This window comes from Homo sapiens, chromosome 12 (genome assembly GCF_000001405.40).
Source record: "Homo sapiens chromosome 12, GRCh38.p14 Primary Assembly".
Classification (NCBI taxonomy): Eukaryota; Metazoa; Chordata; class Mammalia; order Primates; family Hominidae; genus Homo; species Homo sapiens.
The window spans coordinates 44,749,955-44,776,469 of record NC_000012.12 but is presented as its reverse complement, the minus strand read 5'-3'; the positions used below and the strand labels follow the sequence as shown (position 1 = coordinate 44,776,469).

Below are 26,515 nucleotides of genomic sequence, written 5' to 3'. Positions count from 1 at the left end.
TGAAATTAAACATTTTTCTTTTAAATGGAAAGTGCTTCTCTGCATTTGAGTGATGTTTTGAATTAACCTTTGATTTATGTCTTATAAATTATGTTGTTTGTTTCTAAGGCAGGGAGCAAATTTATCACAAAAAGAAGAGGAGAGAAAAAAACATTCTTTTAAATTAAATTAAAGTCTTAAATATGTTTATGGCAAGTGGTTGATAAGCACAGCCATCATCATTGCTACATACTTTAAAAAAAAGATACCTGCGGAGTGTTTCACATTTCTGTGTTGCTGGAAGGATGAACAATGTAAAACCCGTTCTTTTGTGCCACAGCTGTCTCGAGCTGAACAGCGAATGAATAGATTGGATCAGTGCTATTGTGAAAGGACTTGCACCATGAAGGGAACCACCTACCGAGAATTTGAGTCCTGGATAGACGGCTGTAAGAACTGCACATGCCTGGTATGGCTTCTATTTGAGTTGAGACTAAGGGAACTCAGATGCTCCCACTCTTTAAAAATTTATTAAAACAATGTAATCATGAAAATTTCAAGACCCATTTCCTCAAGACACAACACTAAAGTGTCAACAAACCTGGTCATATCTAAAGAACTGTGTTGCATTATTAAAAACACTTTCTAGCTTCTAAAGATGATTATGGTTTAGGAATGCTATAAAGTTTAAGTTTATTGGTACACACATGAAGTTAGCAATTTAAATTAGGTAAAGTGATTCCTAAAGAAGACTATCCTCTTATCCTTAACATTTCCAGAGATTTTTCTCCCTTGTGTTTTCATGAATGCATTTTCATGAAACTAAGTCATATGCAGCATTAAATATTGTGTCCAGATTGAGCAATATAAGCAAATTAGATAGAGTTTAAATGATTGGGACAATCTAATAGTTTATTAATACAGTGGAATACAAATTATAAAGTTTAAATAAATGTGATTTTGCTAATTGCTCGCTAATGAAGTAGAATATTTTATTGCATTATGATTTCAGAAATATATGTTCATTTTCAAAGAAAAGTTCAAAGAGTTTGGTTTTAAACTTTTAAATTACACATGAACTCATCTGTTAAAGCTGGTTTTCTGGAAAGAAGTCAGACATCTATGTGAATTAGGCTTTTAAAAAAATTTCTCAAAGTTCATCCAGTTTATTCAAAAACAGAATATCATGCATATAAAAAGATCAAAAGTAGTTCAGAACTGTGTGTGTGTGTGTGCGTGCGCACGCACATGCATGTGTGTGTGCGTGCGTGCATGTTCGTGTGCATGATACAGTTTTTATTCAGGAACATGATATGTTCCTAAATTTTTTAAATGGGGAGCAAAGGTTAAATTGAGTAGAAGACGGAATGTGGTATAGTGAAGTCAATAAAATGGGAAGCCCGAGCAGCCAGCTACCTGGGAGCTCTGGCCACCTTTAGGAATCAAATTCCTTGCGGTGGTCCTGTCTCCAGTTTGGCGCCTCCTTGTGGTGATTGTCAGCACCGCCTCCCCTCCTGGCAATGAATGGCCTGTTCTGTTCTCTTCACATGAAGAGTTTAAAATTTAAGGAATGAATTCAAAAATTCTTGAAAACTACTAAACTCTAACATGGAAATTCTTTAAATATTGTTTCCTTTTCAGAATGGAACCATCCAGTGTGAAACTCTAATCTGCCCAAATCCTGACTGCCCACTTAAGTCGGCTCTTGCGTATGTGGATGGCAAATGCTGTAAGGAATGCAAATGTGAGCATAACTTTTATGATGAATACTTTCTTTGGAAAAATAAAGCACTGTATTAATAAGTATTCACCCATCATTGGTTTAATCTGGGCAAGCTAAATAGCTTTCAGAAGTGATGGAATAAAGGAAGAATACTTTCTCTGTTTTGGTTGATTAGTTCTTTTCCATTTTAAAATGCTATGCCCCTATTCCAGTAGGACAATTTTTTCTTGGAGTAATCTATTCCATATAGTGATAGTAGTAGGAAACATGTGTAAGAAACTTACTGGAAGTTATTTCACTAATTGTACTATTTATTGTAAGTGTCTCCCAAATAGGTTAAGAATGGTTCACACGGCTGCAATAACCAAAGAAATCCATGATACAAGTGGCCTTCAGCAGCAGAAGATATGCTGTTCCATTAGCCCAAACAACAGAAGTCCACATTATTATAGGATTGTCCAGTGTAGATAAGGGCCATGGCCTTCATTCAGGGAAAAAAAGGCTCACACCACCATGTGTGGAAGCTTTTCTGCCTTTTAGCAGTCATTATATAGCAGTTCACTTCGGTTGTCAGAAAATACTTTTTGACTCATCTGTAACTACCCTTAACTGGGTTCTAGATCGTTCAATAAATAATGGAAATAATTTATTTATGTTTCTTATACTTTAAAAGACTTCACTTAAACCTTTGTTAAAAAGAGTGTTTAAAAATTTTGCTGTTTTTTCCACAAAGGAGTAGTAACATACATGAAAACTGAGTTGTTTTAAAGTTTGTGGAATATATAGAGCTCTGTAAATGCAAGTGTATTTATATGTATACTCTCAAAAAGACAAAGTAGGGAGAAGTGGCGGCGGGGTGGAGAGAAAGACAGTAGCAATGTGCTACTGCTGGTGAGGGTGACAAGCTATCAGAGAAAAATCAAGAAGTTGCTTCATAGTCCGTTGATTTAATTCCCTCAGGAAGGCATTTATATTTAATTCTATTAGGCTTTACATTGAAGCCAGTCCGTCTCATAAGACTGTATTAGCCTAGTCAAGTCGATTCAGTGGAACTAGGAAGGATTGAATACAATTTTTCTTACATGTCACTAGCTAATTTCCTTGGTGAGAAATAATCTGCATTTTTCTAGGACTTCTCTTAATAAAAGGAGGCTTGTGGCAATATATAGTTTTGTTTGTAGGTGGTTAGAAAGAGGAAGGAAGAAGGACCATATATACATATATGGCTTCATATTCATAATACAATAGCAAGGAATCATACTTTTTGCCTTAACTTCTTTTTTTTTTTTCTTGAGACGGAGCCTCGCTCTGTCGCCCAGGCTGGAGTGCAGTGGCGTGATTTCCGCTCACTGCAAGCTCCGCCTTCCAGGTTCACGCCATTCTCCTGCCGCAGCCTCCTGAGTAGTCGGGACTACAGGTGCCTGCCACTACGCCGGGCTAATTTTTTTGTATTTTTAGTAGAGACGGGATTTCACCCTGTTAGCCAGGATGGTCTCGATCTCCTGACCTCGTGATCCGCCCGCCTCAGCCTCCCAAAGTGCTGGGATTACAGGCGTGAGCCACCGTGCCCTGCCCTGCTTTAACTTCTTTTATCTTTCTTTACATCCATAATTTTATGTTGTTATTCATGGATATGACAGATTTGCATTAAGTGATGTCAGTGTTATTAGATACAGGTTGATTGAAATAACGGGCCATTGTGAGAGATTCGTCAGAAGTGAATTTCAATTCTCATCTTACCATTTGCCTGTGTTACCAAGAGTAAACTGCAGACTAAATCGGACTAATGCTTGAATTCTTCCCAATAAACATGCGGTTAGACATAATGAAATGATAAAATGTTTTGAGATTCATTAATGAAGAGTGTTTCAGGCAGTCTTTGGTGTTAATGATTGAAAACCAACTGTTTGCTTCATATAGAAAATAGTTAAAGCTGGAAGTGAGTGATCAGTGAGCAGACCACAACATAATGAAAAAAAAAAGCCATAGGCCCTCATTAGATATGGCTAAAAAATAATAAGTATTAAGCGACTTTATCTTTCTGTTCACATTTAATGATATATAAGTACCATGGAATAGAGAGGAATAGAGAGGGTTCATGCTTATGTTTGCTTGTTATTTCAAAGATTTGAAATTTTAGTTTTAATGAATTTAACATTTTACTAGAGCTAGCAAGACATTTCAGTAAACAGCCATAGATATTTCCCCTTAGGGAAATAAGCATTTAGTTCATATGGTGAATATTCTTAGCGGTTCTTTTTGGGAATGAGTCTCTGCAAAGCACAATTTAAAAATAAGTCACTGACAATATCCAGAAAATGTGCTTCTGAAAAGTCTTGTAGAAGACAAATAACACTTAAAATAAATGTAATAGTAATCCTTTGACTGACTGACTTAAATAGTACAGATTTTCATATGTATTTAAAAAAAGTGGGAGAAACCAATAGTTACACATGTCTATGATGTCTTGTATGTGTGTTTGTGCGTGTGTGTGTGTATCACCATTGCATGTGAGGAGAAACAGTCTTATTTTCCTATGTTAATTCCACAGTAGTGTCACTGTTATAATTTATGAAAATCTAATTTTAGTGGAGTAGAAGTAAATTCCTATGTTTTTTACTCTTTTAAATATAAATATAAGCCCTCTTCTTAGACCCTACATTGATCCTATCTTTGAAACGCTTCTGCTCAACTGCCTTTTTAATGACAAAACCTGATAAAATAGATTATTATTGAAAACAGCTTAAAGAGATTAATAGCTTACTGTTTCTAAAGCCCTTGGAAGGTAAAGCGTATAACCTAACTGCTGAATGTGACTCTGCCAAGATTGAAATGAACGAAACACGTGCATGTGGCCAGTCACTTTTTGGTGCTCTTCCTTTAATGCTTTCAGGCTTGCTTCATCGGAGTTGTTTGCGCATTTCTGGGCAGTCCTATTTTGCAGCTTCCTTTATACTTTCCCTCGGTAACTTCAACTCCAGCTCGTTATCTGAATATAAATACTGATGAATAGCAAGATGGTTGTTGTTCTGGGAAAGAAGTCAGAAGAAACCAAGCCTTTTCTTTAGTTGAATCTACATAAACAAAGCATTGGGAGGAGGGGCTTAATTTCCTGCCTGGACCATTAAAATAGTGTGCTGGAGTTAAACAGAGAGGATAAAATCCAAAGGCAGGAATGCCAAGGCCAAATCGTTAAAGCCATAGTAATTACAGCCATAATGAAGCCATATTTCTCCTATAGGTTACAAGACACATACTTTGTGCCTCATTTGATCTTTACAGCTCTATAAGTACGTATTATCTCCATCTTCCTAATAAGGAGAATTCCAAGTCATTCAGGAACGTGCAGTTAGTTAGAGGTCTCAGAGAAGTTCCATCTGAAAGTGCTGTGTTTGACAGCCTGCTTTCCTTTTTTTTTTTTAAAAAAACCATCTGTTATAATTAATCTAAGTGATCTACTTTTATCGACCAGTTGCTAAGCTCACCAGAGGTGTTTTGGAATCCTGGTTGAGTCTTAGGCAGCAGAGTTTGCCTTCACCACTCATCCTCTTTCCTTTCAGTCACCATCTCCTCCACATCCTTTATCCCGGTCTCAGGCTCTCAACTAGCAAACAGGGACATTTAGTGACACATATTCAAGATAGCTGTAGAAAATGGAAAGTATAAATATTTTAGGTGACCTTAACTCTGAAATAGAATGAGGTCAAGATATGATTAAAGTACATAAAATCTCAACCCAGGTTTAAAAAAAAAATTATCAGAAAATAATTGACTGAAATTCTAGGAAATCAAATGTTACTGAAAGTCACTGAATTTAGGAAACAATTTAATTTTTCTGAATATTAATGCTATTACATGGATGCATGCCTTTATTTATTTATTTATATTGATTGTAGATTCAGGCTTGTGTACAGAGCTCTGCTTCACAGGAAAGGCGGTTCATGAGAATAGGGAATCTGAGGCAAATCTGAACTGATGCTGTAATGTCTTTCCTCCATTGTTAGAGAGTTCTCAAATACAGGGAATGTGAATGTGACCATCAGAACTGGTTGGTATTTGCCTAGTAGCAACAGTTAGTTTAAGTGGTATTTCCTCAGAGTCCAGAATTATATGAATAAATACAAATCATCATTCTTTTGGTTGAGCAAGGTCAGAGTTTCAGTATATAATATAGATTACACTTTAATATTCTATGTGCTGATTAGACATCAGATTATTTTAAACTTAATTTTAAAAGCCATCTTGGTTTAGTTAAAGTGGACTTACTGTAATATCTTTGCATATTGAATAGTTAATTCTGTGAGTTACAAGTCGGATTTTCTGGGTCTGAATTCTGACTCCACAACTTATTAGCTGTGAGACTTTGGTCAAATTGCTTAACCTCTCATGGACTCAGTTGCCTCATATGTATAATGGAAATAACAATTGTATCTACTTTATAGGGGCTGTGTAAGCACTGAATAGGTAATAAATGTAAAGTGCTTAGAACAATGTTAACTGTTATTACTGTTTTTATTAAAAGAGTCACTCATGTTTTTATTGATAAAAATACAAAGTAGTGAAATGATCTCATTAGTTCATTAGCTTTAGATTTTAAAGCTACGTAGGACCTCAAGAGTTCTTTGAAATAGCCATTTGCTTTTGGGAGGTATGGTTTCATTATTCCCATTTTATAGAAGAATAATGAAGCCAGGTAGATTGTGACATTACTAAGATCAAATAGTATGTAATGCACGGTAATTTTTTTCTCTCAAATTGTGTCCTGATTTCCCCAAGACCACTCTCTTCCTCAATATTGTGGGCGTATCTTAATCAAGGTTGAAACCCAGAACTAATATCTCATTATTATGTACTGTTTTGTGTGTCTGGCTTCTTGTACTCAGAATCACCTTTGTGAGGCTCATCCATATTTCTGATGCGGGTCAAAAATGTAGCTGCATCTCATTCATACTTATTGTATCATTTTGACGTCCACTGCAGATCAGTTATACTTATTGCTGCATATATTTTATTTGTGTTTATGTACCACAATTCAGTCTATTGTTGGATGGCAGTTAGGTAGTTTGCCGATTTGGGCTATGTGAATAGTACTCATAGAATAATTCTTTACATGTTTCTTGGTCTTAGTTATGTATGTATTTGATGGGTATATATTTAAAACAGTGGAATTGTTTGGTCAGAGGGTAAAACTGTTTGACTCTATGGCAAAACCAGTTTTCCAAACAGTTTTCCAAAGTGCTTATACTAGTTTATTTTCTCACCAACAAGGTAGGAAAATTCCAGTTGCCCCACACCCTCACCCACACTTGGCATTTTTAGTCTTTTTAATTTTAACATTCTGATAAATGATGTTGGTAAATGATATTGTACCGCGGCCTAATTTTGTTATTTCCCAGGTGACTAATGAAGATGAGTGCCTTTTTGTATATTTATGGGCTGCTTTCATTAATATTAAATAATAAAAAGTAAGAGTAAGTATTTTCTATTTATACTTTTCCAAAGAACTATTTTCTTGCTTTTAGTAGAAGTGGTAATTTGGGAGGCTTATTTTATTTGCACATCAATATAGATGATTCTAGTCCTGTCACCTTAAAATGTGTAGCAAAGTAAGGGTAGTGGAGATTAAATGATTGCTGCTCAAGTACTTAGTGATTTTAAAAATTGGATGATAATCTGATAAAATGGAATCAGAGATTTCTGAACATGTGTTCTTGACTTTTCAACAAAAATCAGCAGAATATAATTCACCAATAATTTTTTTTTGTTTTTAACAGAGGGGGAAAACATAATTTATGTAGGCTATGGTGAAAAAGAAAATAATTTTGAAACAAAGTAACCAGTAAACATAGCTATTTTTACAATAATGCTGGAAGCATGGGAAATATTTAGGATGTACTGGAGGTTCTCATGCATGAACACAATTATAAATTAGTTGGTGTGATAGAGACACGAGGGGCCACATGAATAGAATGCCAATATAAAATGAGAGGAATTATGTAATAATGAAAAAGGTAGAAGTAGCAATCAAAAGAAAGGTGTGTTGTTTTACGTATCAGATGCGCTGTTTTAAGAATATTTCTTGAAAGTCTGTAGTGAATAAGGAATTTTATGACACAGCAAAAAATTGAGCTGAAAGCTAATGGTGTCACTGGAAATCACATATCCAGCCTTGGTCTGGACGGTCTTTTCTCACTAAAATTACTTTAATTTAGTATTTGAAATAACATTGAATAAATCATAGAATTAGAACACTTTTATAATTCTATAGGTATATGTGACAAATAGGCAAGAAAATAGTTCACTTGTATATTACTTTAAGATAATGAGCTTCTGATAGGGAATGTTTTCTCTAAAGACAAATAGCTAAATTTTTAAAGAGAGATTTCATCAAGATAATCCTGTAGGCTTCCTAAATACTGTACTGTCATTAATTTTATCTTAATTAAAAAAAAAACCCTTTAAAAAGGCACTTGGCATGCTGCTACCTTTTAAACATTATAAAAAATGATGTCCAATCAGTGGAAAAATACCGAATTGGCAATATATTAATAAACTAGAATAATTAACAATGCAGCCTTCAGATTAAGGCTGTGAGACAGCATGTGATATATTTTAATGATCTTTAGAAAAATATAAATCTACTGTTAATTAGTCAGCTCATAGCAGAGCTGCAATGCCAGGGAAATGTAGGGCAGAATCACAGAGTGATTACAATGTCACAGTGACTTAGCTGCTGTGTCCTGTATGCTAGTCCTGGGTAGTGTAAGTAGTTTAACTCTACCATTCTTTCTTCCCAATCCTAGTACAGTATTTTTAATGCTTTAATTAAAAATAATGCATGCATATAATAAATCTGCAAACCATGCAAACAGATATAAAATGAAACATAAACACCTCCCTATTCTTTCTCCTCCAAACTTCTGGTTTTTGTGTTTCCCTCCAGATGACTTTTAATGTGTCTACTCACATTGCCTGTCTAGGCTTTTTATATATTGTAAATGATATTAAGCATTTTCCTGAACTTTGTTTTTTTGTTAATAACATATATTGGAGATATTTTCATATTAAATAAAAATAGTTGCATATTATCCCACTATATAGTTTATTATTTTATTTCTTCCCTCTCTAAAGATATTTTGATTGTTTCTAACTAATTTATACATTTGTTATGAGAAATAATATTGCAGGAAGCCATTAATGCATAATCTTGGTGCAGTCTTATGGCTTTTTTCTATAGAGTAAGTTGCTAAGGGTGGAGTTGCTGGGTCAAAGACTATGACACTTTTAATATTGCCAGCTTTTGCCAAATTATTCTACAAGAAGATGGTCCCAGATGTTTTCTTCCTTTGGCAAGGGAGCACCAGGTGGAAGTGCTGAGGGAAGCCTGAAAACAGCACGTCTCTCCGGGTTTCAGTAGGTGTTTAGAAAAGGCATTGGGGGGCTTTTGTTCTCTTTCCCAGGCAACCTTGACAAGAAAATGGCAATTTATGGGAGATCTTTTAATGAGAAATAGTCAATGGAAGCCCAAACATTCTTATTTTACCACAAACAATGTTGTCTGGTGCACTCATATAAAATTGTTGTTAAATTAATTGCTGCTCTGCATCTTCAATAAATTCCACAGATGGCATAAGAATGTATTGACCTCCCCTTTTGTCTGATATGAAAGTGGGTTTTCCGGTAGACGTAACACGGATACTGTCCTCTGGCTCTAAGGCATTATACTGTGCCTATTTAATTATGTTTTATTAAAAAATAATAGACAGTACTCAGCTTCTAGTTCTTCACTCTGAATTGCAATTTCTCTTCATTATTAAAATCCTTGAATAAATGTGTTTTGTGGATTTTATTATTTTTCATGTCCCATTACACTTTCTCAAAAGAATGTCTCTGCACATATAATGGCATTGCTTAAGTGACCAAAGACTTTTCAGAAGAAAGCGTTATGCAAATCTATCTGCAATAATAATTAAATCAAACTGTCTAGCACAGTTCTAGGGGACCAAAATGGGATTCTTTAGGTGATCAGAAGGCTAGTCCTCCTTCTTAGTATCATAAGGCTTTGAAATAAGTAAGAGGATTTCAGATTTATACCAAAGCAAAAGAGTGATAATCTAGGTATCATTCATAGGAGACCCAATTTAAGAGAGAAGAAAAACACTCAACCTAGGCAGAAAATGCAACTTTTTATCTCCAGTGCTGTTAAGTAATTGTTTAAAAATGAGCTTATTTTGTTCTCAATTGAGATAATACAAAATTGCATTTTGAAGTAAGAATAGGCAAGAATGAGACATATGCAATTTAAAGCATCTTAGAAGTTGATTTTGGCAATTACGTGGAAAGTAGCAATTCCGACAACCCAACTGCACAATAAAGGTAAAGGGACAACATAGTGCCCACTGGAGAATAAAGCCACAGCACCCATGTCCTCAACCAAACGTACAAAACAACAACCCAGCTGCACTGGCCTCTCCAATGGCTACCTTGAAAATGGTATGTGGCCTTCAGTTTTCTGTACATATTTATAAATGGTATAAAGTTATTATAGATTAAGAATTAAAGAAAACAATGATATAGGAGCTTAGTATGAGGAAGGGACAGAAAGGAATTCACTTTTTCAATTTAGAGATGATTGTGATAAAGCAGAATTCAGATGCATTTCTTTCTTTTTTTTTTTTTTCTGATACGGAGTCTTGCTCTGTCACCCAGGCTGGAGTGTGGTGGCACAATCTTGACTCACTGCAGCCTCCACCTCCTGTAGCTGGGATTACAGGTGCCAGCCACCATGCTCAGCTAATTTATGTACTTTTAGTAGAGATGGGGTTTGGCCATTTTGGCCAGTCTGGTCTCAAACACCTAAAGTGATCTGCCCACCTCGGCCTCCCAAAGTGCTCAGATTACAGGCGTGAGCCACTGCATCCTGCCAATTCAGACTCATTTCAGTTTAAAGATGGTTGAGATGGAGTACAGTTTAAGCACATTTTCTTTTATGCAAAACCTGGCCCCCAATTTAAAAATATTTAACTATAAAAAAATACCACATGAAATTGCCTTAAAAATTGTTCTTGGAGTTGGTGGTGGTAAGAACGGAGCTTCTTCCAATTTAGGAATGTTAAGCTGGTAACATATCTATTTGTCAGAATATCTGCTGCAATCCCACTCTGAGCCACAGTATATATTTCACCTATATTATGTACTAGAGCCTCACTTAGATTTTGTTTCTAAATAGCTGCAGCTCCTGTTCACACCCGTTTCACCTCAGTTGCTAGAATGTTGTCTATATTAGGGAACTGGCTACATGGTCTCTGGAATTTGGGTTAAGCCATAGGGCCATATCAGGGTTTTAGGATTTAAGGCTCAGATCTGGAGTTATTGACTGTATACTTTAGTTACATTGTGAACTTAAAAAAAAAATTCTCGGCTGCTTTCATAATGACCCTCACTTATCAATATTATTGCAAATTATAAAGAGATGTCTCACAAATACTTGTGCAACAAACTCAGTAACCCAGGAAAGATAATTTGAAGTCCATATAGCACAATAGATAATATGCAGATATAATTATTTATGATTTTAACCATTGGAAGATGACCTCAATGATTCATAACATTGGTAATTTTGCTGAGACCTGAATTTTTTTCAGACAAGCTGTAAGGTCTGTATACAGGAGCACGTCACTTAGCTCAGTGCCGCTTAAATTTTAATGGGGATAGGAATCATCTGGAGATTGTGTTAAAATAAGAATCCTGAATCAGTGTTTCAGGGTGGGACCTGTAAGTTTGCATTTCTAACCAGTTCCCAGGTGAGGCAAACACTGCTGGTTCATGGAACATGCTTCAATTAGCAAGGACTTAGCTAACAGGTGTGCATCCCTGACTGTCCAGGAGCTCAGTATTGCTTTTTTTTTTCTCTCTCTCTCTCTTTTTGATCTTAAGTATGCAGTAAGATGTCAGGATATGTTTTAGGGATGTTTTAAGCTGACATTTTAAAAGTATTTTCTAAGTGTGAAAGCTCTTGTTTCTCATAATGGCTCCCAATTTACAGATGAAAGTGAAGCTTAGGGAGGTTACTGCTGTTGCCTGAGATAAGCCAGCTAGTAAAGTGGCAGCACCACAATTTAAACATATGCAGTGTTTCTTATACATTGTCTCATATGATTTGTAACATATTTCATCAATGGAAATAGAAAATTAGTTTGAATGGAGAATTTAGTTTGTGATGTTCTGGAGACATCAAGGATTTTAATTACCCATATGTTTAGTGATTATGTAAGTACTTAGGAAATATGATTTTATAATAGTTATTTCTCTATGATTAGTAAGAGAAGAGGGAAAAATCAAAAGTAAATCTTCTAGTATTTCGTATTAAAATGAAATGTGTATGCCTATTATTGAAAGCATAACTTTTCATTACTTTGTAAGACTTCATACATGGAACAGAAACTATCAATTCTGATAGTTCAGGAAGAGAAATTTCAAAAGCAAATGCCTTCTGGTTGGATTTTACTTGTTTTTGATAAATAAAGAATAGAGAAAACACACTGAGTTAAAATTAAAAGTATCTATGTAAAAGGTTTAGACCTACCTTGATTATTAACTGGAATTCTTAGAAGTCAGTGATAATGTCGAATTCTTCTTTGGTCCCAAAAGCTTTTTGAAAAACTTTTCTTTACATTTGTATTAGATGAGGTCTTTTTCTGAATACTTGTGGAATAAATCACATCTGTCTAATTTCCCAGGCCTTTAGTAGCTTGGGGTAGTCCCATAAAATAGTTTTAGTTTATGCTGGGTGGTTCTGCTGAGAAAGATTGTGCTGTCTCAATGCAAAATTAAACTGTTCTCTTCCAACTTGTTAACTATTAGTACTCCAAATACGATGAAGTCTTTGTTTTTTTTATTGTAAATCTTGTAAGGATAAGAAGATTAATAAAAGCAATACAGCATTAGAAAAATTTAGGATAATGCATTTTCCATAAGCTTAACTTCTCTTTCCTCCTTTGTAAAAATTCTCCCATTAATCCTTCCTCGTAGAATTGTGCTCTGTACCACTTGATTCTTGAAGTTATTTTAAAGATGGTGATTTACAAGGAGTTAGTGAGCCCGCACAAATATATCTCATGATGCTAAAAGCAAGTGTTTGCAGATGGCCCTGGATATTCTCTTGGTCTTTGTTTAACCTATTCAAGCCTTTTTAACCAGTTTTAGGATATTGTAATTTACTGTAGCATTATTTGTAAGAAAACACAAACCAAGAGCCTTTTGTTTGTTTGTTTGTTTGTTTGCCTAAATCATTATTATTAGATTTAGGAGGCTAATCCTTTATTATGCTTTGAGAAAGAGGAAAAAATGCAGTAGATAACGTATTCTTTTCATACTATTTTGTGGGTAAGCATCATGCTTTTAAACCAATAAAAAAATGAGCTTTCCTGACCACAAATTAGGACCTTTTACGGCAAAGCAATGTTAATAATTCGCCCATCTATGTTCATGCTTGTAGTCTACCTCCAGCATTTCTCAGGCCCTGAATCTCAGAAAGGTCACTTTTATTTCTTAGTTGGAAAGAAGGGAGGGAGTGGGCTGGTATAGAACAAGATGCACATTGTACTTGTTCACTGATTTATTTAATGTATTAATGTCTCTTCAGACCACAGTTCCTAAATGCTGAAGGACTTAGAGCTGGGGGAGACAATCAGTAGAATATGAAATGGGATGTAAGAATTGGATTAACTGTCCTGGCTGAGTTTTCCATGTGCCTAGGAATGAATTTATGAGCTGGAGAATATTTCTTGAAATGATCTAGAAATAGTAATATGGAATGATTGTTCTAGGCATATAGAAATTAAGTGAAATAAAGGTGAAATAAGTGTTTTACCACCAAATATCTTTTCTGTAATCATGTAATGGTCAAGTATGCAATGCAATGGTGCAGTATTAAGGTGTTGATAAAGCACCTGAAATAAGTAAAATTCTACCATCAGGGAGATCAGGCAAGGTATTCCTGAGAAAAAGATGTTGGAGTTGAGTTCTAATAAAAAATAGCATTTAACTAGTGAAGAGGAGAAAGAGGAATGTGTAAGCTGAGAGATTGAATATTCAGAGGCTCTGTGTAGTGAGGTGTCATGTTGTGAAAGGTGGCAGAGGTGACTGCTGTGCAGAGAGTCATACTATGAGTTTCAGCTGAAGAGGTAGGATGGCGTTAAATTAAGGAGTTTTATTATTACGCCAAGGGCAGTGGATTGCTGGTTACACATTTTAGGCAAGACAGGTCTGTTTTTGAAGTTATACAGGGAAGAAATGATGGTAGCTTCATTAGGTGGAAGTTATGGGAAATGATTAGGTTTTGGATGTACTATATTTTGAAGGTAGAGCCAACAGGAATTTTAATGGTGAGAAATGGGTATGAGTGAAAGAGAGGAGTTGAGGATGATTACAAGGTTTTTGTATCAAGGAAGTAAGAGGACAGAGTTGCTAATACCTGAGATTGGAAAGGCTGGTAATTGAGCTGGATTTGGGAGAGTGGCTAAGATCAAGTTCAATTTAGACATGTTATGTTTAAGAGGTGTGTTAGCCATTTAAGTGGCAATGTAGTGCAACTAGTTGGATATTTGAGCCTGGAGTCTGGAATAAAGGACTAAAGTGGAGGTAAAAATCTGGATGGTTGAATTTTTTTTTCATTATGTTTGTTGACAATTTCTATTTTTTTGTTGTGTTTTAAAACATATTTAATGTATTTTATTTTTATAGATTCAGGGGGCACATGTACAGGTTTGTTACATGGATATATTGTATAATGCTGAAGTTTCAGCTTTTAGTGTGCCCATCACCTGAATACTGAACATGATACCCAGTAGGTAATTTTTCAACCCTCACGCCCCTTCTACTCTTCCCTTTTGAACTCCCCACTATCTGTTATTTCCTTTTGTACGTCCATGTGTACCCATTGTTTAGCTCCTACTTATAAGTGAGAACATGCAGTATTTGATTTTCTGTTTCTGAGTTATTTTAGTTAGGTTAATGGCCTCCAGCTCCATCTATGGCTGCTTCAAAAGATGTGATTTCATTCTTTTTTACAGTTGTGTAGTATTCCATGATGTATATATGCCACACTTTCTTTATCCAGTCATTACATTGATGGGCTGGATTGATGGACAGTTATGTTAATTCCATGACTTTGCTGTTGTGAATAGTCCTGCTATATATTTTAATATACTATAATAATTTCTTTTCATTTAGGTAGATACCATATAGTGAGATTGCTGGGTTGAATGGTAGTTCTATTTTTAGTTCTTTGAGAAATCTCCATATTGTTTTCTGAAGAGGTTCTAATAATTTACGTTCCCACTAACAATGTATAAACATTTCTTGTTTTTTAATTTTGTTTGTTTGTTTGTTTGTTTTTGAGACGGAGTTTCGCTCTTGTTGCCCAGGCTGGAGTGCAGTGGCGCAATCTTGGCTCACCGCAACCTCCGCCTCCCGGGTTCAAGCAATTCTTCTGCCTCAGGCTCCCAAGTAATCCCAAGCTGGGATTACCGGCATGCAGCACCACACCCGGCTCATTTTGTACTTTTAGTAGAGATGGGGTTTCTCCATGTTAGTCAGGCCAGTCTTGAACTCCCGACCTCAGGTGATCTGCCCACCTTGGCCTTCCAAAGTGCTGGGATTACAGGCATGAGCCACCGCACCAGGCTGTGTATTTGTTTTATGAAATAATTTTTCATGTATGTTGTCCACTTTAAAAATTAATTATTTGCATTTTTCTTACTCATTTGTAAGAGGTCTTTTTATGATAAAACTTATCTAATATATATGTTGCAAATATGTTTTCATAATGTTTCTTTTGTTTTTCAATGAAAAATATGTAAAATTTCACGTAATTGATTCTTTTAGTCTTTTCCTAATAGTTCTGCCTTCAGTGTTGTCATGCTTTAAAAGGCCCTGTCCTCTTTTTATTCATCAAATATTTACTATCCAGCCTCTGAATGTCCCCTTCTTTTTTTATTTTAAATTTAAACAACCTGGGATTTATTTTTTGTGTACATGAGATAATAATCTAGTTAACTTTTTTTTGGTCAAACAAATTAACCAATAATTCTAGTACCATTTGTTAAATGATTATTTTGTTCACTTATGAACATTACACCTTTCTGTTACATTAGATGTTTACATATTTACATGTATTTGAGTAGGTTTTAGGATTTATCTCATTCTCTATTAATTTATTTGTGTCTTAGGATACTAATTCTACAGTATTTTATCATAGCTTTCTAGTATGAGTTATTATCCAGGAGAGCAAATCTACCATCACTCGTCTTTTTAAAAATTTCTTTGGATAATTTTCTCTTGTTTCTAGATGGCTTTTGTATATCATGATAATTATATGTCTCTAAATTGATTTAATAGCTTGGAATATGTCTTATTCTGGTATCTTTTAAAGATAATTCTCTGATGGACACCATAAAATTTTTTCTGTGGTTATTTGGGGTTTTTAAAAAATCTATATTATTTTGTTTGTTATTTTAATATATTAATGAAAGAAGTCTCATGGGCTAAGAGTTGAAATATTTCGGAGGTGGACTAATTTTGGTGGAGTAACATGTTCAAGGGTATAGCTATGGAAACGGAATGCTTAAGTGATAAGGAAATGAAATCCACTGTATATGAGGAGGCAAGGAGTCAAGCAAATTTAGATTCTAAGTGCTGAACAAATTTTCCAAAGGCCATCTAAAATTTCCCAAAACAAATCCCAACCTAAGGTAGAGAGAAAGATTGTTTTCAGGTTCCAAAGTCCCCAGTAACTCTGCCATAGGTATATGATACGAATTTTAAAAGGTAGTGAAAGAGACGGATGCCATACACATTAAAGGAGGTTGAGTTCTTTCCTGAGGGTGAGAGAGTGGTAATTTGGAAGTGGCACTCCTTCCTACAGCAAGCATACATATGGTGTGGGAAATAAACACTCTAAATGGGAGGACTTCAGAGTAAGCAGCATTGTCTTCACTGAAAATCCAGGTTTCAATGAGAGTGAGGTGTTAGGTTATGGAGGATCTACATGGTCAATGGTTGAGATGGAGGATTGGAAGCCCATTTTATCAGTTGGCATTTACTGTGTAGCAAAACATCCCAGAATTTAATAGCTTAAGAAATAGTTTGGCAGGTTAGAAATTTAGACTGAATTCAGCTGGGATTTTTTTCTTCAATCATGCTGGGCTTGCTTGTATATCTGTTAGTTAGCTGGTGTGTCAGTTCAGATGGTTGGTTTATGACACTCTCACTTTTCGATGCTGAGATGACTAGAGCATCTTTCCATGTCATCTTTCAACTAGCATGTTAGCTCAGCCTTCTTTATATGATAGTTGCAAATTTCTAAAAAGTCAAAACTTGCAAAGCCTCTTTACTCCTAGGCAGGAATTCAGACATTGTTACTTCTACCACATTCTATTGGCCTCCTCAAGTCACAAGGCCAGTACAGGTGATGGAGAACCTGTAAAGTCACATTGAAAGGGACAAAGAAACAGGGATAGAAAAACTTGTAGCCTTTTCTACAGTTTTTTAATACCCTGTGAGGATGATTCAGGAGGGAGGAAAGTGAGCAAGGTATGAAGATGAAAGCAGGAATAATGTGTTTGGAAGCTACTTTCAAATGGGGTAGTCATACCCAAGAGTAACAAGATAGGAAGTATGGTGGCCTTCATTGACCTCAGCAACATGATTCTTACTCTGGCTTTGTTTCAGCATTGGGGCAGGATGCATTTTCAGGTAATATCAAGAACTTGGTGAAACCAGTGGTCAGTCACCATGTCTGAGGCCATCTATGTTCAAGCAATACATGGTATGTCAGAGGCATGAAGTTTTACTTTTGGGGCAGTGTTTCAAATAGAACAGAATAGAAATATGATATAGTACCTTTAAAGAATACTAGTTCAGAAACACAAAGGTCAGAAGTGGTTAACCCTTTGAATTTCAGTCATGAGGTGGAAATAACAGTGGTCCTGAGTGAGTGGCAGTTAAGGAATGAGGCTTCTGAAGAAATTCTAACCCAGCTTTATATTGAAAGCTGAACTGAGTTTATATTGAATGAATTGAGTTAATCTGTTTCATACAGGGCAAGGTTCATCTGTCATTTATCTCTGTATCTTCATCACTTGACAGTATCTAATGCATAGTAGATGCCCAATACATGTTGCAACATTCATTGAGTAAGGTGTTTCATATTTTGACCCCTCTTTCATGGATTTTTATTGTACTCAATTGCATCTGTAAATATTAACAGTAAGTTGAGATTATTGTGCTTGCGCATCTTCTGCAAAAATAATAATTGTACTTTTATTCATTGTGTCAAGTTTATTCTTTTTATATTTTGAAGTGGGGATTTAATAAAGCAGAGTAACTAGGAGTTATGTGTGGCACAACCAACACAGCGAATAGCATTTAGAAAACGCAACCATCCTGAACAGAATAGAAAGGACTGTCCTTTCTAAATTCTTTATTTTGTCAAGAATGTTGCAAACTTTCACTCAGGGTGACTTAAGACAATTTCCAGATTTTGAATAGTTTGAGGATAAAAAATTCCCCAAATGATCTAGTTATCACACAAAACATATGAGAAACTACCAAAAATTCTCAGCTGGGACAGTCTCTTTAGATTACGCTGAAAACAGTGATGAGTTTTCATATACCTTGTGTGTGTATGTGTGTGGCGGGGGAGTGTGTGTGTGTGTGTGTAATCTCCTGTATCAAAAGACAATTTTTCACCAGATGAAACAAAATATGTTCTACCAGATAAAGTATTAATGTCCCTAACTAATATCCCCATATCCCTTCTGCTTTTTCAACCCAGTTCCCACAGTGCTACTGGATCATCTATCAAAATTATAATACTTAATTACATCATACTCCAGTTCAAAACCCTTCAAACACTTCCTAATGCTTTGAGGATACACATCAAAGTCTTTCACATTTACTGTTCATTTGTTTCCAGGTTTCACTATTATAAAAATACTGCCACAGTATTTTTCAGGTCAGTATTAAAAAGGAGAATTTATAGGTTGAACATTGTACAAAATATGCAGAATTTTGGCACCTATTACCATATTATTCTCAATGGTTTTACCAATTTACACTTCAGCAACATCTGGAAGTGCCTGTTTTTTTCAGCACCCACACTAGCACAAGGTGTTATCATCATTAAAAAGAAAATCTTTTCTAGTTAGATGTATGGTATATTGTATCTTTCTAGTGTGACTTGAGCACAGTGAATGGTGTGAGAATCTAAGTAGAGTATTTTGGGATAAGGATGGGGAGAGAAGCAGTGACCAGATAATGTGGGCTGTTGTGGTGTTAAAAGACTTCGATATTTATCCCCAAAGCATTAGGAAGCATTTGAAGGGTTTTAAACGGGAGTATGACATGATTAAGTATTATAATTCAGTAGGCGAGCCACTGTGGGAACTGGGTTGAAAAAGCAGGATGGGATATGGGAACATTAGTTAGGGGCATTCATACTAGTCCATTTCAGAGAGGCTACAGTTTGAGGTAGGAAATGACTGTGGAATTGGAAAGAAGCAAATGGATTCGTATATATGAGAGGTAGAATATGTTGCCTATAGTAATTGGATTTCAAGGACCAAGGGAGAGAGGCATATCATGGATGAATTTCATATTTCAGACTTGTGCAAAGTGGATGGATGGCTATGATGATTATACTATTTATTGAAGTAGAGAATACTGGAGGGCAATTAGATTTTGAGTTCACTTTTGGCCATAAGGAGTTTGAGATGCCCATAGACATCTAAGAGGAAATATTGAAGTTTGTTGCATAAGTCTGATGTTTAGAAGAAAGGTCTGAGCTGGAGCTATAAATATGGGTGTCATTGGTGTAGATGCTAACTGGAGCCATAGGAATGATCAGAGTCACTTAAGGAGAGAATATATTGAGAGGAAAAGGGAGCAAGGAGCAGTCCTTGAGGTACTCCTACATTTAAAATCTATAAGAAGTGGAAGAGCCTGTAAAATAACATGAGAAAGAGTTGCCAGAAAATTACACAGAAAATCAGAAGTATTATTGTACCAAGGAAGCTAAAGGAAGAGTATTTTAGGAGGTAGGAAGTGATACATGGTAGCAGAAGGTGCTAAGAGGACATCAATGATGCTTTTAACATTTTTTATGAGATTCAGAATGTGGAGATGGTTGTCTTTTTTAAAGCATTTTTGGTGGCCTGGAAAAGGACGCCAGATTAGAGTGGCTGTGGGGAGTGGGTGGGAGAAGGGGTGATGCTTTTTGCAATACATTTGGCTGTGAATGGGAGGATGCATGGGGTAGTTACTGGATGCACATGTAGGGCTCAGGAATTTTTTTAATTTTTTAAGATGGGAAGAAATAGGAAGAGACAATATTTAAATGCTGATGGCACGTATTCACTAGCATTTGAGAGAGAAAAAGAGAGAGAAAATGAGAGATAAGGAGAGAGAGAAAGGTTGAACATGTATAAGAGAGGAATTAACTGATGGTGCAAATAGGGCAGAAAGCATAGGATTCAGAGCATAATTGAAGAATTCGAACTTTGCTAGGAAAGGAGACACCTTCTATGTACAAACAGAAGGGAGGGAGAAATGGATGGATATTGATGCAGCTAAATGTGTATTTGATAGAAAGGAAGTTAAAGGAGTTGAGTCCATGTCTGACAGCTTTTGTTTTTTCTGTGAAGTGAGATCTAAGGTGAATTACTGGAGAGAAGAGGCAGAGTCACAGGTGAAGTTAACAGTGTACCGAAAACAGCCCATGAAAGTTTTGAGGTCCCAGATAAAGTTGATAACCAGAAGTTGTGCTATTCATCCATCTGGTTATACAATTTGTCCCTAACCTTTTACAACCCAGATGTAGGCATGAGAAAAGTAGATTGATTCATCCATCGTTAGGATTTTGATCTCCAGACAAAGAAGTTAATGATAGTATCAAAAACTAACTAAACTTTGAGACTTAAAGATATTTATATTGGATAGAGAAGAAAGTAAGGATAGTTGAGGGCTCATCAGTAGGGAGAAAGTTAGTTCATATGGAACAGGAAGCACTAACAAGGTTGAAGAATAAATGCAGTGGGAATAGTTGAGGCCACCTGGAAGAATAAGAAGCTGGAATGGGAAAGTAAAAGGTCTGATTGAGAGCTTTTAGAGGTGGAGTAGTTTTGAGTGATGACAAAACTGTGGCTATACAGGTAAAGTGGAGGTGAGGGGAGAGCCAAGGAGTAAAAAGGCCAGGGTGCAGGATAGGTCAATCACATGGATGTCAGAATCCTTCAGAATGTTGCAGACATTGTGACAGAGAGAGAGACTGTGACCAGATTTCAAAGTCAGCAGTGAATGAAGGGGAGTGTCTATGAATGTGTGTATGTGCATGTGCGTGTGTGTATGTAGGTAGGGAATTTAATGACGGGAACCTGAAAGAGCAGATATTTTTTGTGGGGGTAGAAAAGTGACAACAACTGTACCTTCTGACTCTGAAGTACAGATGTGTATTTCATGGTATATATGAAGTATCCATGGTGGTAAAAGAATTTGCAGCTACCCTTTGGGAAGTCCATGGGGCATGTGGTGTTCTTGCTGGAATAACAGGATTCAGGGAGAGCCAAAAGGCCATAAGGTTGAAGCTATGCAAAGGGTAGAATTAGAATTCCAGAGAACTGAGTGAGTTTGGCAGTGAGGAGGAGGTTGGTGGGATGTGTGTAGTTATGTGAAAAGAGAATCACAATGCATTGGAAATGTTAGTGTTCAAAACAAATGAATGGATCTAGTTCATTGGGTTGGTTCACAAAGTGGGGGAAAAGAAGCAAGAGATATTTGAGTTTTTGTTGAATTAGCTGCCTCACAGAGTTGTCGATAGTAAATCTTAATGGAAAAAAATGTGGGTTTGCAGTGCTTTTCACAGTATTTTATATTTTTCATTGCTGAGAGAATAGATTTGTTTACTTTATACTTTTCAATAGGTTATTATTTGCACAAAGGAAAGCTATTGATTTTGGTCAACTTGTTTTATAACTCAATTATTGGTTCAAATAGTTACTCAGGGTTTCTCTTATTTCTAGGTAGTCAATCATCTTCCATAAATAGCAGTCATTTTATCTTTTTTCCAATATACCTCTAATCATATTAATTCTAACAGTAGTGATGCTTCTAGGAATCCCTGGCATATAAAGTGTTTGAAATATCATAAGGACTGTGGTCTAGGTTAAAACTAATGAAACTTAAACTAGGATGATGGCAGTTGAAATAAAAGAAAAGGAATGACTTTAGTAATGTAAATACTTGGCATTTATCTGAATGTAGACTCTAGAGGAGGGAGCTGATGATGATTCTAACATTTCCATTTAGGTAACAGAGAAACAAAAGGGTGATATCTCATGCTTTACCTTTAAGTATAGGATTATTAATATTTCCATAGAGTAAATGTTTGAAAAAGCAGTAACTGGTCCAGAGACTATACATCATTGTAATTCTTTTGCCACAAACTACCAAATTATATCCAGTTATATTAGATTTGTTAGCATATTTCTTCACAACACTGAATATCATACTTTAAAATTGTGTTGTTAGATTGATAGAAGTAAAATGATGTCTCGTTCTTCCTTTATTAATTCTTCAAATAGCTTTAAAATAGCTTTCCCTATATTTCCAAATATCTCCCAATATTCTCTTAATTCTTCACTTGATACCATTTTAATGTTTAAATACATTTGGGATGTATCTTTGCTTATAGTATGGAATACAGAAACGAATTTTCCACCTCAAAATGTGAGCTAGTTTTTGCAACTCTAGATGGCTAACATTTTGAAAGAGGGAAATGTGGCCTAGGAAGGGTGTGAAACAAAAATTTAGTCATTCAAAATATTTATTCATTAGGGGAAATTTTAACAAAACATTCCTTACAAATACATTAGGTGAAAATTCCTCACCATGATATTTAAAGCTCTAAACCAGCAATAGAAAACTGGCTGCAAGCCAGCCATTGTAATACTAGTTCATATTTACAGAATGCTTTCTATGTACCAGCCCTGTAGCAATCATTTTATATATACAGATTATATATATATATCTTACCTCATTAAATCCCTAGAATAGTCCTATGAGGTGAGGATTATTATTCCCTGAAACAAAGTATTAAAAATAGGGCATGTGAGGTCAACACAGCCAAGTCCTAGGCCATTATTTATATGGCATTTCACTGACCTACTCACTGTTCCCCAAAAATACTTTGCAGCTTACCCATTCCATATTTTGCTTTGCTGCGTTTTGAGCCACATTGACAATACTGTGGATGATAAAGACAGAGAGGGAAAAATAGTAAAAGAAAAACCAGTTAGAATTTATCCAGATGTTCTTTCATCCATTAATTGAACAAATACCTCAGTGTTCCCATGTACTAGGCAGTAGTCAAGGGGGAAGGGACAAGGTAGGGAATGAAAGTGATAGAAATATCTGGCCTGCGTAGAGCTTACCCTCTGAGGGTGGATGGAGAGTAGTAAATGCTAATGATGTGAAATTGAAAGTACCATGAAGGAAAACAATCAGGATAAGGTAGGGGCATGATAGGGACAGGGTGCTGTGGTCTCTTGAGGAGGCGACATTTGAACTGAGACCTGAATTAAGTGAAGGAGCCGGCCATGTAACTATTTGGAGGACAGTAAGTTCAAGACTCTAGGGCAGGCATGTGCTTGATTCTGTGTTCAATGAACTGCATAAAGTTCAGGCCAGCAGGGTTGCAGCGTCCAAGGGTCGTGGTGGGAGACGCCATGCAAAAGGAGCTGTGGCTTACAAGACCGTGCAAGACCTTCTGGGGACCTGAAATCTTATTTTCTGCCTGTTTGCAATGGTTTAGGAGATAGCAAGAGGACTTAGGCCTAGGCAGTGGCAGTGAGCGGGGCATCACCGTGGCAGTACATGACTTGGCAATCGACTGAAATAGTTTGGAGGAGGAGTAATGATGCCAACAATTTCAGTTGTAACTGTGAGAATGATGGTGCTGGGTAGAGAGGAAAAGATGATTTTCAGGAGACAAGGATGCAGTCTAAAGGTAGGAAGTTGGGGAACATATTTAGGGAATATATTATGTATTTAGGGAATGTAGCAAGGAAACTAAATGCAGAGTGCTGGGGAACTTTTCAGGACTTTCTGAATTGAATTTTATTTATCTCCTAAGAATGTCATTCCAGGTATTTGGAAGCAAAAGCTGTAGTGAGGTGGTAATTAACTGCAGTCAGATCTGGATTGGAGTTCAGTCTGTCACTTTTCAGCTTTGTGAACCTGGGTGAATCATTTAAGATCACCTTGATTTCATTGTTTCTCTATTTGTTTATTTGTTGTGAGCTTAAATGAGATACTGTATGTCAGTCATACTGCTGGAAAAAAATAAGCCTTTTTAAATGGTGTTATGATAATTATGAAATACTGCACAGTTATTTTAGATAATGTATGTGAAAGAGCTTTTTGAATATGAAAATAACTAGGTGTGAGGTATTAGCTATGTTCATAAAACCACACTCCTTGTCTTCTCTGTATTGCTTTCTAATTATAGTAACTCCTCTGCTAACTTTATAATTTGAATCAATTCAAGAGTAGCCAGTGTTTTATAGAAATGTGTGTAAAGTAGAATGGCAGCATAACATTTTTGCAAGAAGTTCAAATTGAAGGCTCAGCTCAAGCTTGTCCAACCTGTGGCCCACGGGCTGCATGCAGCCCAGGATGGCTTTGAATGTAGCCCAACACAAATTTGTAAACTTTGTTAAAACATTATGACACTTTTTTGTGACTTTTTTTTTTTTAGCTCATAAGCTATTGTTAGTGTGAGTGTATATTTTGTGTGGCTCAAGATAATTCTTCTTCTTCCAATGTGGCCCAGGGAATCCAGAATATTGGACACCCCTGGCTTAGATAAATGCCCCAAATAACTAAAGCTTAGAATAGCTTATTTTTGTAATTTTATAGCAAAATTATCAGTTTACATATTTTAAGTTTTGATGAACTCATTATTTTTATTTCAAATTTCAGTGAATTAAGGAGACTTCCTTAAAAGTTAAAGTACAAATGTTTTAACAACATATATAAGTTTCAGAATTATAGACTCCAAAGTAAACACAGGAGGGAGGGACAGAAAAAAGGGAAGACAGGAAAATATGAAATGTTATCTTGGTCATCCATACATGTGGATTTTTAAGCTTATTATCAGTTCTTGCTTTTATGTTTTACAGACATGCTTTTTGAAAATGAAATGAAGTTGAAATGTAATACATACACAAATTTGTATAGCTAAATACTAGATTTTGATGAATATTTTAAGAAGGAAGATAAACTATGATTCAAATTTCCAATTAAATATATGTGAAATATGTATCAAAGGCTCAGATACTTCCAGCACCTGAGCCACTCCCTTAAGGCCATCATTTCTAAAATAGAATATAAAGAACAAAATATCATTTAACGGAAAAACCAACTTAATTAGTCTATAAATGTCTTTAAAGGAAAACTGATTCATCCAAAACCAAAACAACATTTATTATTTCTGCTATTTCTTCCTTCCCCCTTCCACTTAGTCTGTAATTATATTTCAGCTCCTATTACCCTGTCTCTCATCCCTTAATGACCCCAATTTTCTGATTGGTTCTCTTTGACCTCCACAGAAGCCTGCTTAAGCATTCAATGAATTCTTTATGAAATTCTGTGGTAATTTAATCTTCTGTGTGAGGTCCTTTTAGAAGCTTTATTCTGCTCTTTTGGACTGAAAGGCTGTTGCTAAATCCTGATTTTTATTTTTTCTTCTGACAGTAGTGCTTTAGGGAGAACCCAAACACCTTCTTGAATATTGCTTACTCTTTTATAATGACTCTTGCTATAATTTTCTTTTGATATTGGATCACTTTTAGAAATGCAGAATTTCAGTTAAGTCATTTAACTTAATTGCATTCACAACCTGTTATCTTCATTTTTCCATTTAAAATATGTTTCTGCTTGCTATCAAGACTTATATTTCTGGATATGTGCGGTATATCTATTATATAGAAACATAATAGAAGGTTTTCCTGAACGCTTTGACCCGCACTGTTGTTCTTGGCTGCTATTACCCTGGGAGAGTGGCAGCTGAGAAAAGAATGAAAAAGATTCCTTTTCCATGAGCAATGGTCACCTGAATCTAGTGAATTTCTTGGTAGTTCAAGTTCCCAATTACTTCATGTTCTAATAGTGAAATTTTAGCCTTGGTAATCCTTACCTGTTCATAGAATAAACTGATTTTTAGAGTTGCTTCATTTTGCTTGCTTTACATAATATGGCTGCATGAAAGCCTTATAAAGCCCATAAAACTTCTTGTTTCCTGTCAGTGAATCCTCTAGCATTAATGTATTAGGAAACATCTACCATCTTTTGAAAGTCTCCAAATAATTTGTCCTAACATGTAATTTTAAAAGAATGTACCTTCCTATCTGTCTACCTGCTAGGTAATTATGGGCTTCTCTGAACAGCATCTGCTGCAGAGTCCATAAAGAAACATACTTCCCCTTTTCATTTGATCTTTAACAGTACACATTTGTTAACTTTATTTTTGAAGAATGTAAAAGGAAAACATAATCTCTGCTGGGTGGTTTTCTTTCTCTTTGAAGAATGACACTTTTCTAGTTCCAACCTTTGCAGAGGAGGGGACTTTTCTTATTGCAATGAGCTTGGTGTATATACTCTCTCTTTTTATATGTTCCCTCTCTTTCTCTATATATCTTGATATATATACCTTTTCTAATTTCTCCTTTTTTTTTCTCCCTGCTAGTTTCCTGGTTT

The 26,515-nt window shown here is 35.6% G+C and overlaps 1 protein-coding gene across 6 annotated transcripts in view; it reads left to right on the top strand.

Annotated features, from left to right (window-relative positions):
* The window catches only part of NELL2 (neural EGFL like 2), a 413,574-nt gene that overhangs the window by 145,379 nt on the left and 241,680 nt on the right, over positions 1–26,515 (top strand). For all 6 annotated transcript variants that reach the window (XM_011538396.2, NM_006159.2, NM_001145110.2 and 3 more), the window contains 2 exons: positions 320–448; positions 1,621–1,723. In XM_011538396.2, coding sequence (XP_011536698.1) covers positions 320–448; positions 1,621–1,723 — 232 coding nt within the window. The remainder of the gene's footprint in view (positions 1–319; positions 449–1,620; positions 1,724–26,515) is intronic.